Source organism: Homo sapiens, chromosome 8 (assembly GCF_000001405.40).
Source record: "Homo sapiens chromosome 8, GRCh38.p14 Primary Assembly".
NCBI classification, from domain to species: domain Eukaryota; kingdom Metazoa; phylum Chordata; class Mammalia; order Primates; family Hominidae; genus Homo; species Homo sapiens.
The window spans coordinates 132,596,070-132,613,300 of record NC_000008.11 but is presented as its reverse complement, the minus strand read 5'-3'; the positions used below and the strand labels follow the sequence as shown (position 1 = coordinate 132,613,300).

General features: G+C 38.0%; 1 protein-coding gene across 26 annotated transcripts in view; it reads left to right on the top strand.

Moving 5' to 3' along the window:
* DNAAF11 (dynein axonemal assembly factor 11) overlaps window positions 1–17,231 on the top strand; it is a 132,498-nt gene that overhangs the window by 89,613 nt on the left and 25,654 nt on the right. For 20 of the 26 annotated variants that reach the window (NR_135908.2, NR_135906.2, NR_135907.2 and 17 more), the window contains 2 exons: window positions 1,938–2,007; window positions 3,040–3,135. Coding sequence is in view for 15 of the 26 variants with exons in the window: in XM_011516950.3 (XP_011515252.1) it covers window positions 1,938–2,007; window positions 3,040–3,135 (166 nt within the window). In the remaining 11 variants the exon portion in view is untranslated. Of the gene's footprint in view, window positions 1–124; window positions 277–1,937; window positions 2,008–3,039; window positions 3,136–4,747; window positions 5,671–17,231 lie in introns of those variants that run through there. The other 6 variants (XM_047421658.1, XM_047421656.1, XM_047421659.1 and 3 more) reach the window with 3 other exon arrangements.

Sequence of the window (17,231 nt, the reverse complement as noted above, 5' to 3'; positions counted from 1 at the left end):
GTTCACCAGATGGTAGGCATTTGGGTTGTTTCCACCTTGGCTCTTGTGTACCAGGGCTAGCCTTAGTGTGGTCCCTTCCTCTCCACACCAAGCTGTCTCAGATCAGCTGTGTGCCTCTCCACAGAATTCCTGTCAATTCTTCTGCCTGCTTGCTGCCAGGTTATCTGCCTTTACAAAGATCCCAGCTCTTCTCCAGCTAGCTTCATATCCTCTGCTCCTCCAGCTTCCCAAGCTGCCGTTTCTACTGTTTTTCAGACAAATCACTGTTTCATCCTTGTAAGTCCTTTCCATTTTTAGGCCCTATGTCTGGTGTTTAATGAATGTATAACCCTTTCTTTTTCAGCTCTGTTGGCTGCTTCCTGTTCAGTCCTCAAATGGAAACATTCCTCATTCCCATGCATGTGCATTTTAAGGGGTGGTAATATTTCTCCAGTCTATGTAGTAAAACTCTTTCATTCCCATGATTCTGTCTAAATGAATTATGCTATAATTCCTGGTTATCTTTATGGGCACATAGGTGTCTACTTGAAAGTTAAATTCATTCGTTCACGCCTGCTTCCTGCCTTTATTCAACAAGCATCTATAGAATACCTACTATGTGCCAGGCATGGGGAGACTGTAACTGTCTCCCCAGTCATGATCTCCTATCACTTAGAGCCCTGTGGGGGAGGGCAACAGACAATAAATAGACATCTGATGAGTTACAAAGGAAGAAGGCTGCTGTCAAGGAGAGGGACAGTGTTCAGGGATGGGAATAATGCTGTGCGGGGAGTAGTCAGGGAAAGGGGGAGACGTGAGCAATGATAATTGAAAGATAAGAAGCAGCTTGCTCTGCAAAGAACTGTCAGACAATTATTTCTGCCAGAGAAAGGCCATGTAGGTAAGGACAGATGAACATTTTAGGGGGCCCAAGCATGGAAAATACTGCATAATCCATTAAGTGTAGATATCACATGTGAAGCTGTAGAAAACCTCATCTCTATTATTATTATAAAAATTGTTTTTAAATGGCATATAATGATGCTTTATTAACACTAGCTATGTACTGGGCACTATACATGTTCCTTCCTAACAATCTTAGGGCTACGTGTTAGTAGTATCCCCATTTTACAGAAGAGGAAACTGAGGCCTAGAGAGGTTAAGGAATGTGGTCCCAGGTAATAAAGCAGGAAGGCATGGAGCCAGTTCCCCACAAGCCTGTGTGACTCCAAACCTATGCCTGTAACCCTTGTATTAGCTTACCTGCCTTAACATTTGTGATTTTTAAAGCAGCTCTGCAGTTTCTAATGTTCACAATTAGTATTTTGAAGTATGTGAACATAATTATTTGGCCAAGCTTCTGATTTAATGAGTGATATGAAATCTAAATCTTTAATTTGCTCATGAGTGGAGGAGAATAATTGCCACCTGATCTTGGGGTCACTGCCATAAACAGAAGGGTTTGCTTATTCAGCAGGATGTGACTTTGAGGGGAGAAGCAATCTAGTCTTCCAGGAGAGATAGTATTAGGGCAGCTGCAGAACAGCTGCAGGGGATCCAGAGCCGCCAAGGAAGCAGGAGCTGGTGGTTGCAGGCCTCAAGCAGAGTAGAATCAGCATTCCTGGCTATTCAAGTCTTAGGGGCTTAAAATAAAATATTCATGAAAGAGCATGGCAAGCTGTTTTTTGCAAACCTCTGGTGTTTCAGACCTCAGATATTTTTGGGTTAGGGGCAATCAATGCCAAGTATACTTGTGGGTCTAAAAATGAAATTGCTGATATATTGAATTTCCTTTGGTCTGGGAATTAATTTAAAACTAATTTTTTAAAGACCCATTTTGCATGGATATTTTAAACGCCCTTCATTTAAAATGGTCCTGTAAGTGTGAATTTATATTTGCACTTATTCAAACTTGATATTTTTTAAAATTATAAGATTTTCTGTGTTTAATTTTGAAGGTATATGGATACCTCTTTAATCGATGTTGATGTGCAACCAACTTACGTGCGAGTAATGATCAAAGGAAAGGTAAGTAGAACCCTGTAGGCTATTACAATTTCAAAAGCTAAGCTTTGAACTAAGCTGTGGTGCCTCAAATGTTTTTAAGTATTATTAAAATAGAAAAAGGGCCCGGGCGCAGTGGCTCATGCCTGTAATCCCAGCACTTTGGGAGGCCAAGGCGGGCGGATCACCTGAGGTCAGGAGCTGGAGACCAGTCTGGGCAACATGGTGAAATACTGTCTTTACTAAAACTACAAAATTAGCCAGGCATGGTGGCTCATGCCCGTAATCCCAGCTCCTCGGGAGATTGAAGCAGGAGAATTGCTTGAACCTGGGAGGCGGAGGTTGCAGTGAGTTAAGATCACCCCACTGCACTCCAGCCTGGGCTATTGGAGTGAGACTCTGACTCAAAAATAAATAAATAAATAAATAAACAAAAATAAAACAAAACATAGAAAAAGGGAAATGAAACAGAGTGCTATTTTTTAGCACATGGTTTTGTATCATGGGAGTGGTATAAGGTGGGAATGGCTGCTGACCATATGTAGTTGGATATCATTAATATTTTAAACCTGTGTCTATTGTGTTACACTTTTTTCAAACCTAATAACATAATTATATGTGTGGGAGCCTATGCATGAAATTAAATTGTACACCCATTCTAAGTTGTCAATGATTTCATTCATAAAAACTATAATTTTATTATTTCTAAAATACCATTTTTTGCTAATTTGGGCTAATATGGGCTTGAAGATTAGCTTAAAGATTTTTAAATGGAAATAATGTTGATGGTTTTTTGACAGGGCTTTCTCTATAAATTACATGAACCCACGAGCATGTCACTGTTTGTGATTGATAACTGTTCTTTAGACTACTTGTTAAAATAGGTAAAATAGTTTGTGCATAGAAAGCATAGCTCATATCAATATTTTTAATAAGCTTAAGCACATTTCTTAATTGAATGGTGTATCTTGAATTTGTAATGAAAATGCCCCTTTTAGTAACCCTCTCATGTAACGTCCTTGCTCTCAATGATACTTTCTTTCTACTTATTTTCAGCCATTTCAGCTTGTCCTTCCTGCAGAAGTGAAACCCGATAGTAGTTCTGCTAAAAGATCTCAGACAACGGGTCATTTGGTCATCTGCATGCCCAAGGTAGGTCATGTCATTTGGGTCAATTTCAAGTCTGGATATGAGGGTTCCTGAAGGAACTTGACCTGTCAGGACTAATGATGACTTCTGATTAAAGTACATTTTAGTTGGGAGCACCAGGAAATCTCACAGCAGCTGAGGTAGGAGAACAACGGTCTGTGAGAACAAAGAACTCAGACTGGAATGTGTTTGGGGCCTAAGGTGGTTTATCCTTTCCTGAAAGAACTTAAGGAAATTAAACTTAAAAAAATTAATTTGTCCATAGAAAGAACTTGGATTCATCATTACAGGCCATATGAATGAGTTGGGATATTTCCTGCTGTAAGCTGCAGAAACCCCAAATAAAACTGGCTTTTATCATAAATAAATGGTTCATTTCTTGTATCAAGATAGGAGAAAGTGGGGAATAGGTGGTCGAAGAACATTGGGTCAGGATCTTTCTGATGTGTCAATTCTGTCCTCAGACTGGTTTTCTTCCATAAGATGTGCACTAGCAGTGACTTGGGCAGCATACTTTCATGTTCCTATCTTGCATGAGATAAAAAGACAGAGGATCAGAGAAAGAAACACAGAGAATCTCTCCCATCACAATGAAACAGAAGTTCCTCTGGAACTTCTTAGGTCAGTTTAGCTGAAGAGCCCACCAAGTCTTGATTACCATAATCCTGAACCATTAAAACCAATCTCTAGCCAAAAAGATGGTAGTACTATCAGCCTTCCATGGGTTCAGCATCCATGGATTCAACCAACCAGGGATCAAAAATATTCAGGAAAAGAAGTGTGTCTATACTGAACATGTACAGGCTTTTTTTTTTTTTCTTGATTCCCGAGACAATACAGTATAATAACTACTTACATAACATTTACATTGTATTAGGTGTTGTAAGTAATCTGGAGGTGATTTAAAGTGTACAGATGTTTGTGGGTTATATACAAATACTATGCCATTTTTTATTGGAGACTTGAGCATCTGAAGATTTTGGTGTTCAAGGGATGTCCTGGAACCAGTTCCCCACAGACGTATTTTGATTGGTTTCTATTAATCATACCTCATCCCATAAGCTAGGGGTAGGGTCAACTTTGCCCAAGTCATTTAGATTTCAAAGGGGAAGAGTAGATAAACCAGTCAAAATTGGGTTCTGCTGATGAGGAAAAAGAGTAGAATGAGGGAATGTCAGCTATGAAGAGTACAAACTTGATTAACCAAAAAGATTTCTGTAATAATTTAATAATTCTGCGTTTCCTGTAGCCAATTTCCAACGGATTCATTATAGGTACTCAATTATGTATTTTTACTTGGAGGCAATAAAATAGCAAATACAATTTGTTGTCAAGTAATAAAATAACAAACACAGCTGTAAGAATTGTATTGTTCTTGATGACTATAACAAATTAAAGAAATGCTTCTATAGTAACCAGAATATTCTATAGGGAAATCTAAGATATAAGTTAATTACCTCAGTACTTTGATACAGACATTTGTGTAACACTATGATTAGCAGCCTGTTGTTTTTGTGTCTGTGTGAAACTTCTAACTGGAAAGCCAAAGATTAAATAGAGACTCTGCTAATTCCTAAAGGGAAATCAAGACAGATGATTTGTGTATCTTTTGCAGGGTGCCAACCAATTGATGAGAAAAGCTCTACTGTCACTGTTTATGAGTCTTAAACAACTGCAGCATTCTTTTCCCCTTTTCCTTTATGTTTTTAATCTGTCTAAATTTTTCACATGAAAATAATAATAAATGGCTTATGAGGAAAAAGCATTTTAGAAGTGCTTGATTGGAGATGAAATAATTTATATATATATGGACTAGGAATAGTTCTATTTTCGTCATTAATAAATTATGAATAATATTTTCCCTTGAGGGATATATTTTTTAAGATTTTCGACTACTATGTTAAAGTAATATTGATGTATAAGTTCTTCGTTTTCTATCATTATTCTTTTTAAAAGGTAGATAGTAAAAACAAACTTTGGGGAATAATTTCTTGCTGAAAATTTGTCGTCTTTTTCATCCATAAGTAGTTATTTGCAAGGATCTTAAAAACCACCAAAAGTTAAAAAAATTCTAATTTCATTTATACTTAATATTAAAAATGTATATTTCTGAAAGTTAACATCTTTCTAATTATTATTGATTGAAACATTTTAAGTACCAAAGTTTAACCCATGGAGCTATTCTGTATTAGTCTGGACTTATGAACTTACTGTGGAATTGTGTGAGTCTGACCTGCATTATAATTACTGAGGGAAATTCTTGGAGTTATGAAACATACTGTAAGAATCAACATTTGTCCATCATCAGACAAGTTGATGAAGAAACTGTGATATATGTGTGTGTGTGTGACCGTTTAATATGATAAAATATCATTTAGCCCTAAAGAGAGTGAGATTTTGCCATTTGCCACAACATGAATGAACCTGCATATTATGCCAAGTGAATTAAGCTAGACACAGAAATAGAAATATTGCTTGATGTCATTTATATATGGAATATTAAAAATAAATTCAAATATACAGAGATAGAGAACAAAACAGTGGTTACTCAGCGTTTTTTCATGATGTCAAATTAATATTTTACTCTTTTCTTACTCCTAAATGAGGCTGGATCTATACACTCTGGGTATTGACCAATATGCAAGTTTCATCAGTTTGTCTTTTCCCTGTCATGTGGGTCATGGTTATGTTTTGTGTTGCTGCCATGTCAGTGGATGTTCCCAGCTCAGCCCCTTGTTCCAAGAGGTTTCACTTTGTGCTAGCTGTGCAATCCTAGGTGCTTCCCAACACTCACCACTGGGTCGATGGCATACTACAGATTGCTGTAATACACAAATATCACGGTCCCTAGTATACAGCCACATTTCCCAGAAAGTCAGTTGTCACTGTACTTCCTCTACCGTTTTAACAAGGGTCACTGTCTAGGCTAGAAGTGGCAAGTGAAGTAGTAGAAGAGGTGTACTCTGGCCATCTCATAAAGATAGCATCCAGCAACGGGGGAATCATAAAAAGTGGTACACCTGCATAGAGCACTTACCAGGAATGGAGGCTGCAGGACTGGAAGTTGCTCTGGGTGAGTCAGCAAGTGAGTGGTGAGTGAATGGGAAGATCCAGGATGACTATACACTACTGTGGCTTCAAAACACTATACCCTTAGGCTACACTAAATTTATTTTTGAAGTGTTTCTTTCTACAACAATAAACAACTGTAACATTTTTACTTAATAAGCTTTGTAGTTTTTTTCCTAAGTTTTGACTCTTATAACACTTAGCTTAAAACCCAAATACATTATACAGCTATACAAAAATATTTCCTTTCTTTATACTCATATTCTGTATGCTTTTTTCCATTTCTAAAAATTTTTGGCCAGATGCAATGGCTCATGCCTGTAATCTCAGCGCTTTGGAAGGTTGGGGCAGGAGCCCAGGAGCTTGAGACCAGCCTGGGCAACATAGTGAAGCCCAATTTCTACAAAAATAAAAATTAAAATTAAAATTAGCCAGGAACTGTGGCTCATGCCTCTAGTCCCAGCTACTCAGGAGGCTAAGGCAGAAGGATGGCTTGAACCTGGGAGGTAGAGGCTACATTGAGCCTAGGAGGTCCAGAGGCTACATCGAGGCTGCATTGATTGTGCCACTGCACTCCAGCCTTGATGACAGAGCAAGACCCTGTCTCGAAAAATAAAAATAGTTTAATATTTTATTTGTTTACTTTTTAAAATTTTTTGTTAAAGACTCAAACTCACACATTAGCCTAGGTCTACACAGGGTCAGGATCATCAGTATCACTGTCTTCTGCCTCCACATCTTGTCCCATGGGAAGGTCTTCAGGGACAACATTATTTTTTTTAAATATAAGTAGAGGGAGCCCACTCTAATATAATGATAAAAAGTATAGTACAATTAAACATATAAACCAGTAACATAGTCATTTATCATCACTATCAAGTATTATGTACTGGACATAATTGTATATGCTATACTTTTATACGACTGGCAGTGCAGTAGGTTTGTTTATGCCAGGATCACCACAAACATGCAAGTAATTCATTGTTCTACAACATTAAGATACAGTGTCAGTAGGCAATAGGAATTTTTCAGATCCATTATAATCTAATGGGACCACCATTGTATATGACTGTATATGTAAATCAGACCAAGTTACTCTTCCCATTTTATTCAGAGTTAAAGGCAGAGTCCCCTGATAACCTGTCCCCCCGACCCCATTATGTCCCTGACATCATCTTCTACCACTTCCTTCCTAGTCATTGCAGCCACATTGGCTTCCTTGCTATTTCACAAACATGACAAGCATCTTTCTACTTCAGGACTCTTGCACTTGCTGTTCTTTCTGCCAGAATGTCCTTCCCCAAGATGTCCTCATAATTTGCTTTCTGCTCAAGTGTCATTATATCACTGAGGCCCTTCCTGATACCCATATTTACAAAACATCTCCTCCCAACCTCAGCATTCTGTATCCCCTGTTCCTGCTGTATTCTAAATCTCCTGTTCCTGCTGTACAGTCTAAATATTTAATTGTTTATTTCTTTTTCTATTTTCCCCAACAAGAATTTAAGCTTCCTGAGAACAGGGAGTGTTGTCTGTCCTTGTCAATGGCACCTAGAACAGATCCTGGCAAAGAGTAGGTCTTCAATAAATTTTTGTTGAATGAGTGAATACCTTAAATGTATCTTTAAAATACATTTTAATATTTAGAACATGCGTCTCCCCTAAACTACTCTCCCTCTCAACTATTTCCTGATTATTTTTCCATATGTATTTTTCTGGGTTAACTTTCAAATGAGTTTCTCAAATTCCGCCTCTGAAAAGACCATTGGAATTTTTATTGCCATGGATTTAGAGGCAGTGGGAAGAAATGATTAAGGGAATGGGCTCTGGAGCCAGAGAACCTGAATTAAATTCTGATATTTCACTCAGCAACTGTGTGACCTTGGCAAATTATTCATCTCTCTGTGCCTCAGATTCCTCATTCATAAAATGATATCAGTAGTAATTCAGACCTCAAAAGGTTATTTTGAGGATTATGCAAGTGAATATAAATAAAGTACCTAGGACAGCGCTTGGGACATAATACACACTACATTAATGTTTACTGTTAATATTATTCATTGCTAGTAATGCATATTATTAAATAATATCAATTGCTACTAGCTAGTATTTTATAATTATTAAGATTGCATTGAATTTATAGATTGCAATAGGAATGAATTGATGTATTTACATTATCAAAATTGGATATTCAATAATGTGTCTCTCCATTATTACTCTTATTTTATGTCCATTAGAAGGTTTTCTTTGTTGGTAGTTTTCTCTCTATAGTTGCTACACATGTCCTAAGTTTATTTATAGATATTATATGTATGATTTTAGTTTCTATTTTGGTTGGGGTTATTCCTCATCACATTTTCTAGGAGTTTATGTCTGGCCTTCATTCCAAGTTCTTTAAAATGTGTAATCAAACTAAGTTCTATGTACATAATCTTTTCATCATCATCCGGAGGATATCTAGCATATGATTTTACCACAGTCCAACTTAAAATTTAACTGGAATTTTGCATGCACTGAGAGGCTTGTTCACTTGCATCAAGTCATTAAATTAAACTGCCATCTCAATTCTTAAATGACAAGTTACAGGAACACTCCAAGAATATGCTTCATGATTTCCTTTGGGTGTTTCTTCAGAATAATTAACTGAGATTAAGGAAGTTGCCATGTGAACTGAACAGCAAAATATATTTACCACTTCAGTGGTGAATATCTTGCTTAATTCTGTTTATACTGAGCATAAGAAGTGAAGATCACATATTAAGGTCAATAATACAGACCATACTTCTAAAAAACACAATCTCAAACCAACCTCCTCCTTATTAGTTGCACACATTCCACTTTTTCTCTGCTCAAATATACTGGTGATATACCCAACACAAATGCACTTTTATTCTCTGATTGTCAAGTGGGTCTATAGTGTTGCCTGGGCATCTTGCTAGGTTTTCTTGTTTCATCCATACTTCTGCTCTTTTATTTCTCATTCTCAGCTCATTTATAAAACTTCCAACTGAAGCTCATTCCTGAAATTTCTAACTGAAAAAAGTGGAAGCCTCAAAAGATAATTTCCACAAACTTTAACCATAATGGCTACCAACCTATCTGCATTTATATCCCCTTGTGCAACCTGGCCTTCCTTCCTTCCTAATTCTATGAATGAACTGTCTGTGGTGTATGCAATCCCTCTAGATGTGTATTGGATCCTATTTCCACTTGCTTTTAAAAGACTTCCCACTCCGCCCCCGCCTTTGGCAGTTCTCTGCTCTCTATACTTTTTCTTTGAATGTCACCTCTCTGAATCTTACATTAGAAAACATTCTGAAAGGTCTCCCCTCTTAAAAAACAAAGACAGAACAAAATAAAAACATCCCCCTCTATTTACCGCCCTGGTCCACTTCATTGCAAAACTTTTAAAAAAGACGCCTCTATTTGCTGTTTCAAATCTTTTCTCATTATCTCTCAAATCAACTCCAATTAGGCATTATGTCCTCCCCACACCCCCACCCCCCACTAAAACATCTCTCTTTGATGTCTCCAATAACCTCCAGATTACTAAACCTGGTGATCATCCCTTGTCCTCCTCTTATTTAACCTTTTAGTAGGCTTTTTATCCCTTATACAGTTCCTCCATATTTAAATCCTTGCTCACTTGGCTTTCAATACACAGCTTTCACTCTGCCACCAGATACTTCTGTCTGCTGGAGTCCTTTGCCACCAGGTGCTTCATTGCTGGTTGTTTCTTATACCTAGGCTTCTGCAAGTTGGTGTGTGCAATAATTCAATTCTGAGACCTCTGTTCTTCTCTATTTGTACTCCTTCCTACATACTACCATCTTCTCATAATACCTCTAGAGCTCTGTCATCTGCTAAAGGCCAACTAAGTCACAAGGAACAACAATCACACTGAGAACTTAAGAAGATGGACTACATATTTTAAAAACATCTTAATAGTACCAGTACCTACCAAGATAGTGAATAGCCACTGTCCTCTGGACAAAAAGAATCCTTCAGTGACCACACAGGTGGGAAGAAAACAACTAATGTCCAGAGCCTGCCAAAAAGGGGACTCTAATAAATCGCTCTCACTTTGGGGTGTGATTCTGAAGGATTGTAACCTTTTAGTAAGGTGAATAAGATGTAAACCAGTCATCAGAAGGCCTCACAGCCTGTCTTCACACTATCTAACTTGGACTTGAGCTTGAGTGAAGGTTGTCTTGGATAAGTAACACCCACACATGCCTGGCAAACCCAGTGAAAATCCTTTCTAGAAGAGGCAGGCTCAAATTATATATATTACAAACATACACGCATATGTATGTATGTGTGCTGTGTGTATATATATATATATATATATATATTTCAAATTAAGTATCCAGTATGCAAAGATAAACTAGATACACACAGGGACATGAGTAGGATTCAGTAGAAACCCAGTCCAGTTTTGGAATTTGATTATGGCAGGTTGTTGCTCTTCTTCCTTGAGGGCAACCTTGAGGGTCCCACAGTTGCTGTGGGCATTAAATTGTTAGAAACAGACTGTAAAACACTGTTTTAATTTGGTGTCTTTCAGAAGCAGAAATTTACATAGGGATTGCAGTAGAGTAGTTTATTTGGGAAGTATGGGAATGCTGGAAGGGAAGGCGGCCAATAGAGAGTTCTCTGTTAAACCAGCTTCCCTGGTGGGAAAACTCTAGAAGACAGTGCTAAACACATACCTCAGCACAACCCTACATAAGGGGTGATGGAACTGGGACATTTGTGCACCAGCTCCTGAGGATCCTTGGTTGATGGCTGCTCCCTGTTGTGGGGTGGTAGTGACATTGATGTTGATGCTGATTATGTTAGGAGGCAATAGTCAAGCATGAAATGTTTTATAAGGAAACAGAAAATACAAAAGTGGTTTAATACTTGAAAATGAATGAAATAAAAATGTTTTAAAATTGAAATATGATAACTTTAAAATTTAATGAGTAGATTTAACAGCAGATTAGACATAGCTGAAGAGAGCACTGCTACACTGGAAAGTAAGAAGATGAGATCCAGAATGAAGCATAGAGAAAAAAAAATATTAACGAAGACAGTAAGAACACATAGAATAGAGTGAGAAGGTCTAACATGTTTAGTTAGTGTCATATGGAGAATAAAGGAAGAATTTAGCAGAGATAGTTTATTATTATTATTATTATACTTTAAGTTCTAGGGCACATGTGCACAACGTAAAGGTTTGTTACATATGTATATATGCACCATGTTGGTGTGCTGCACCCATTAACTCATCATCTACATTAGGTATATCTCCTAATGCTATCCCTCCACCCTCCCCGCACCCCATGACAGGCCCCGGTATGTGATGTTCCCCTTCCTGTGTCCAAGTGTTCTCATTGTTCAATTCCCACCTATGAGTGAGAACATGCGGTGTTTGGTTTTTTGTCCTTGTGATAGTTTGCTGAGAATAATGGTTTCCAGCTTCATCCATGTCCCTACAAAGGACATGAACTCATCTTTTTTATGGCTGCATAGTATTCCATGGTGTATATGTGTCACATTTTCTTAATCCAGTCTATCATTAATGGATATTTGGGTTGGTTCCAAGTCTTTGCTATTGTGAATAGTGCTGCAATAAACATACGTGTGCATGTGTCTTTGTAGCAGCATGATTTATAATCCTTTGGGTATATACCCAGTAGTAGGATGACTGGGTCAAATGGTATTTCTAGTTCTAGATCCTTGAAGAATCACCACACTGTCTTCCACAATGGTTGAACTAGTTTACAGTCCCACCAACAGTGTAAAAGTGTTCCTGTTTCTCCACATCCTCTCCAGCACCTGTTGTTTCCTGACTTTTTAATGATAGCCATTCTAACTGGTGTGAGATGGGATCTCATTGTGGTTTTGATTTGCATTTATCTGATGGCCAGTGATGATGAGCATTTTTTCATGTGTCTGTTGGCTGCATAATGTCTTCTTTTGAGAAATGTCTGTTCATATCCTTTGCCCACTTTTTGATGGAGTTGTTTGATTTTTTCTTGTAAATTTGTTTGAGTTCTTTGTAGATTCTGGATATTAGCCCTTTGTCAGATAAGTAGATTGCAAAACTTTTTTCCCATTCTGTAGGTTGCCTATTCACTCTGATGGTAGTTTCTTTTGCTGTGCAGAAGCTCTTTAGTTTAATTAGATCCCATTTGTCAATTTTGGCTTTGGTTGCCATTGCTTTTGGTGTTTTAGACATGAAGTCCTTGCCCATGCCTATGTCCTGAATGGTATTGCCTAGGTTTTCTTCTAGGGTTTTTATGGTTTTAGGTCTAACATTTAAGTCTTTAATCCATCTTGAATTAATTTTTGTTAAGGTGTAAGGAAGGGATCCAGTTTCAGCTTTCTACATATGGCTAGCCAGTTTTCCCAGCACCATTTATTAAATAGGGAATCCTTTCCCCATTTCTTGTTTTTGTCAGGTTTGTCAAAGATCAGATGGTTGTAGATGTGTGGTGTTATTTCTGAGGGCTCTGTTGTGTTCCATTGGTCTATATCTCTGTTTTGGTACCAGCACCATGCTGTTTTGGTTACTATAGCCTTGTAGTGTAGTTTGAAGTCAGGTAGCGTGATGCCTCCAGCTTTGTTCTTTTTGCTTAGGATTTTCTTGGCAATGCGGGCCCTTTTTTGGTTACATATGAACTTTAAAGTAGTTTTTTTCCAATTCTGTGAAGAAAGTCATTGGTAGCTTGATGGGGATGGCATTGAATCTATAAATTACCTTGGGCAGTATGGCCATTTTTACAATATTGATTCTTCCTATCCATGAGCATGGAATGTTCTTCCATTTGTTTGTGTCCTCTTTTATTTTGTTGAGCAGTGGTTTGTAGTTCTCCTTGAAGAGGTCCTTCACATCCCTTGTAAGTTGGATTCCTAGGTATTTTATTCTCTTTGAAGCAATTGTGAATGGGAGTTCACTCATGATTTGGCTCTCTGTCATCTGTTATTGGTGTATAGGAATGCTTGTGATTTTTGCACATTGATTTTGTATCCTGAGACTTTGCTGAAGTTGCTTATCAGCTTAAGGAGATTTTGGGCTGAGATGATGGGGTTTTCTAAATATACAATCATGTTATCTGCATACAGGGACAATTTGACTTCCTCTTTTCCTAATTGAGTACCCTTTATTTCTTTCTCCTGCCTGATTGTCCTGGCTAGAACTTCCAACACTATGTTGAAGGAGTGGTGAGAGAGGGCATCCCTGTCTTGTGCCAGTTTTCAAAGGGAATGCTTCCAGTTTTTGCCCATTCAGTATGATATTGGCTGTGGGTTTGTCATAAATAGCTCTTATTATTTTGAGATACGTCCCATCAATACCTAATTTATTCAGAGTTTTTAGCATGAAGGGCTGTTGAATTTTGTCAAAGGCCTTTTCTGCATCTATTGAGATAATCCTGTGGTTTTTGTCTTTGGTTCTGTTTATATGCTGGATTACATTTATTGATTTGCATATGTTGAACCAGCCTTGCATCCCAGGGATGAAGCCCACTTGATCATGGTGGATAAGCTTTTTGATGTGCTGCTGGATTCGGTTTGCCAGTATTTTTTTGAGGATTTTTGCACCGATGTTCATCAGGGATATTGGCCTGAAACTCTTTTTTGTTGTTGTGTCTCTGCCAGGCTTTGGTATCAGGATGATGCTGGCCTCATAAAATGAGTTAGGGAGTATTCTGTCTTTTTCTATTGATTGGAATAGTTTCAGAAGGAATGGTACCAGCTCCTCTTTGTACCTCTGGTAGAATTTGGCTGTGAATCTTTCTGGTCCTGGACTTTTTTTGGTTGGTAGGCTATTAATTATTGCCTCAATTTCAGAGCCTGTTATTGGTCCATTCAGGGATTCAACTTCTTCCTGGTTTAGTCTTGGGGTGGTGTATATGTCCAGGAATTCATCCATTTCTTCTAGATTTTCTAGTTTATTTGCGTAGAGGTGTTTATAGTATTCTCTGATGGTAGTTTGTATTTCTGTGGGATCGGTGGTGATATCCCCTTTATCATCCTTTATTGCATCTATTTGATTCTTCTCTCTTTTCTTCTGTATTAGTGTTGCTAGCGGTCTATCAATGTTGTTGATCTTTTCAAAAAACCAGCTCCTGGATTCATTGATTTTTTGAAGGGTTTTTTGTGTTTCTGTCTCCTTCAGTTCTGCTCTGATCTTAGTTATTTCTCGCCTTCTGCTAGCTTTTGAATGCATTTGCTCTTGCTTCTCTAGTTCTTTTAATTGTGATGTTAGGGTGTCAATTTTAGATCTTCCTGCTTTCTCTTGTGGGCATTCAGTGCTATAAATTTCCCTCTACACACTGCTTTAAATGTGTCCCACAGATTCTGGTATGTTGTGTCTTTGTTCTCATTGGTTTCAAAGAACATCTTTATTTCTAGCAGAGATAATATTTAAAGAGATAATGGCTAACTGCAGGATTTATACTTAGGGTTTTTACATGTATACCCACTGCACAAACTGAAAACATTTTATATACCTTCAGTCTGGGAGATATTGTGCTATACTTTTTATGAATAGAAAAATAAAATTGGCTTGGCCCCTGCCCTGAAAGACTTTACCACCTACATTCATATATCTACAATTATGACTATTTAGCAAAAATTGTATATGCTCTGTGATAAACAGTTTAAACAACTCACTTTCTGCAATAACCCTGTAACCTGGGGATTTTTATTATCCAGATTATTTAATGAGGCTTGCTGAGGTTATATACATTTCCCAAGGTCATAATTTAATAAATAGATGTGTCATGTCATAGAAAACACTAGATTGGGGTCATTAGTTCTCTTCTTTCAGAATCCTGTAATAAATGTGATAAGTAGACACACCATTTAGGCTCTTGCTTTTATCCTTATACCAGTTAATAATAACGACAAAGACATAGCTACTATTTATTGAGCATTTACCATGTGCCACACACAGTGTTGAATACTTTGAACATCTTATGGAGTAGGGGTGATTATCATTTTGCAGAAGAGGAAATGAAATTCTGATGTTGCCTTAAATCATAGGGTATGTTTCCAAATGAACACAAACAATGCCTCATAATTTTCATCTACAGCCAGATTACTTTTGGATCATTAGCAGCTTAATATAGTAAAGTGCTTCACCTTTAAAATTTTGTTCCCAATATTTCTACTCTAAAATAAGGAAGTGGTTTAGGATATTTCATGAGTATCAGTATCTTAGCAGTCTTTATTCTCCTGTGAAATTCCCCCCCAACCCCACTAAGAAAATTGTTGAGGATCAAAAGTAGATACAATGAAATGTATCCTTTCTTCCATGATTCCTCATACCACTTTAATTGGAAGATAACCTGCATAGTTACCCAGCTTGTTGTCAACTGGGGACAAGGAAATACACATTATTTGCAGATAATTGTTTTCTTCAAGGTTATAGAGAAGCCTCTTTTCCAAATCATGGGCATCCTCTCTAAAACCTTGCCTGGCATCCTCCCAGACCAAGGGGTTGTCTTTTCTCTTTTCTGTGTTTCCTGGAAGTGAAATAAACAAATGTCACTTAAATAATGAAATCTATTGCTGCCAACTTCATACATTCTTGTCAAAATAAACATATAGTAGATACCAGATGAAGGTCAGGCCCTAGCTGCTCAGAAGGTAAGTCAGATCTCACCAGGAGCTCCCTGCACAGCTGACCTTGATCCAAGAATGGAATCAGCTTTGCGGGCACTGGAAACTCACAGGCCTCCCGTTGCGAGGTGAGGCTCCTAGGTATGAGGGAGAAGGCTCCTCAGGGCTACACACAGGGCAGGTGGTGCTCTCAAGAATGGCAGTGCTCGGTGGGCTCTGGGGAACAGCCACGTCTTGAAACAGACCCATCAACTGCATCTTTCTTGTATTCTTTATATCCATGAATCTGTATATGGTTATTTTAAAAATAAAATAAGAGGTGACCCAAGGCTAGCTCTCCACTGGTCAAGTGATGTCTCTGTCCCTGACTGCAAAGGCTCCAAACACAGTCTTTCTGTGACTTGGTTTCATAGCTTCTGCAGAACTGCAAAGTTGCCACTTAAAATGGGCTTTGTCCCTTTTTCCCATTGGCCAGTTGGGGTGGATGACAGGTCATTCTTCTAATTGCCAGCAATGAGGAGGAAAACATAAGACAACATCAGACAACAATTCAAGACAACTGGGAGAAGCCATAGACTGTGGCAATTCCCTGCACAGCTGTCCCTAGTCGGACAGATCTCATCACAGTCCCTTCGAGGCTGGGAACCAGGCTGATGCCCCCATCACTCTGGATCCTTACAGGGGGCAACAGGAGAGGGAGTGTCGCTCTTTGTTTTATTCCAGTGTTCCTGATATTGAAGCTTTCTCCTAGGCAGTGAGGCTAAAGTAGCCTAGGCAAGTCAGCCTGGTTATTTGCTCACTTTATCACCTACTGTGAACACCACTACTGTGAGTGGGAGGAGCCTCAGGTCCTGGGTACTTAGCCTGCAGGTCAGACAGAAGGGTTGAATTCAGGATGTCATTTTTTTCCTAAGGCACAAAACCCTCTCCAGCATGTTTAGAGACTGTCTCTAGCAAGATTGTAAAAGAAAATTTTATTTTCATTTTATATATTATTCTCAGTCTTAATGTTTGTCCTAACTTAATAAAATATTTTCAGTTTTAGACTGCAATGTGTGGATGATCTTCTATGGGGAACTGTCAGAAGAGTGACCTTCCAAGTAGAAAATAATTTTGAAGGAATCAGTTGATAGTTAGATTTGCTCTCTGGTTACTCAAGGCCACATAACTGCCTTATGTAACTGTCAGTGTTGATTTTACATATACATATCAGTAACTACATCTTTAAAAATTTTCCTCATAATATAAATATTAGCAAATTATTGGCCTGAGAATCAATGACATTTTGTATGCACCTGCCAATTGACGGGCCACATGAATTCATGGTCAGCATGGACTTCCTATCCTGCTATCTTGCTGATATCCAGCCTCAATAATTTAAAATAGCCAAATGAACCCATGATTTCCTTCTGCAG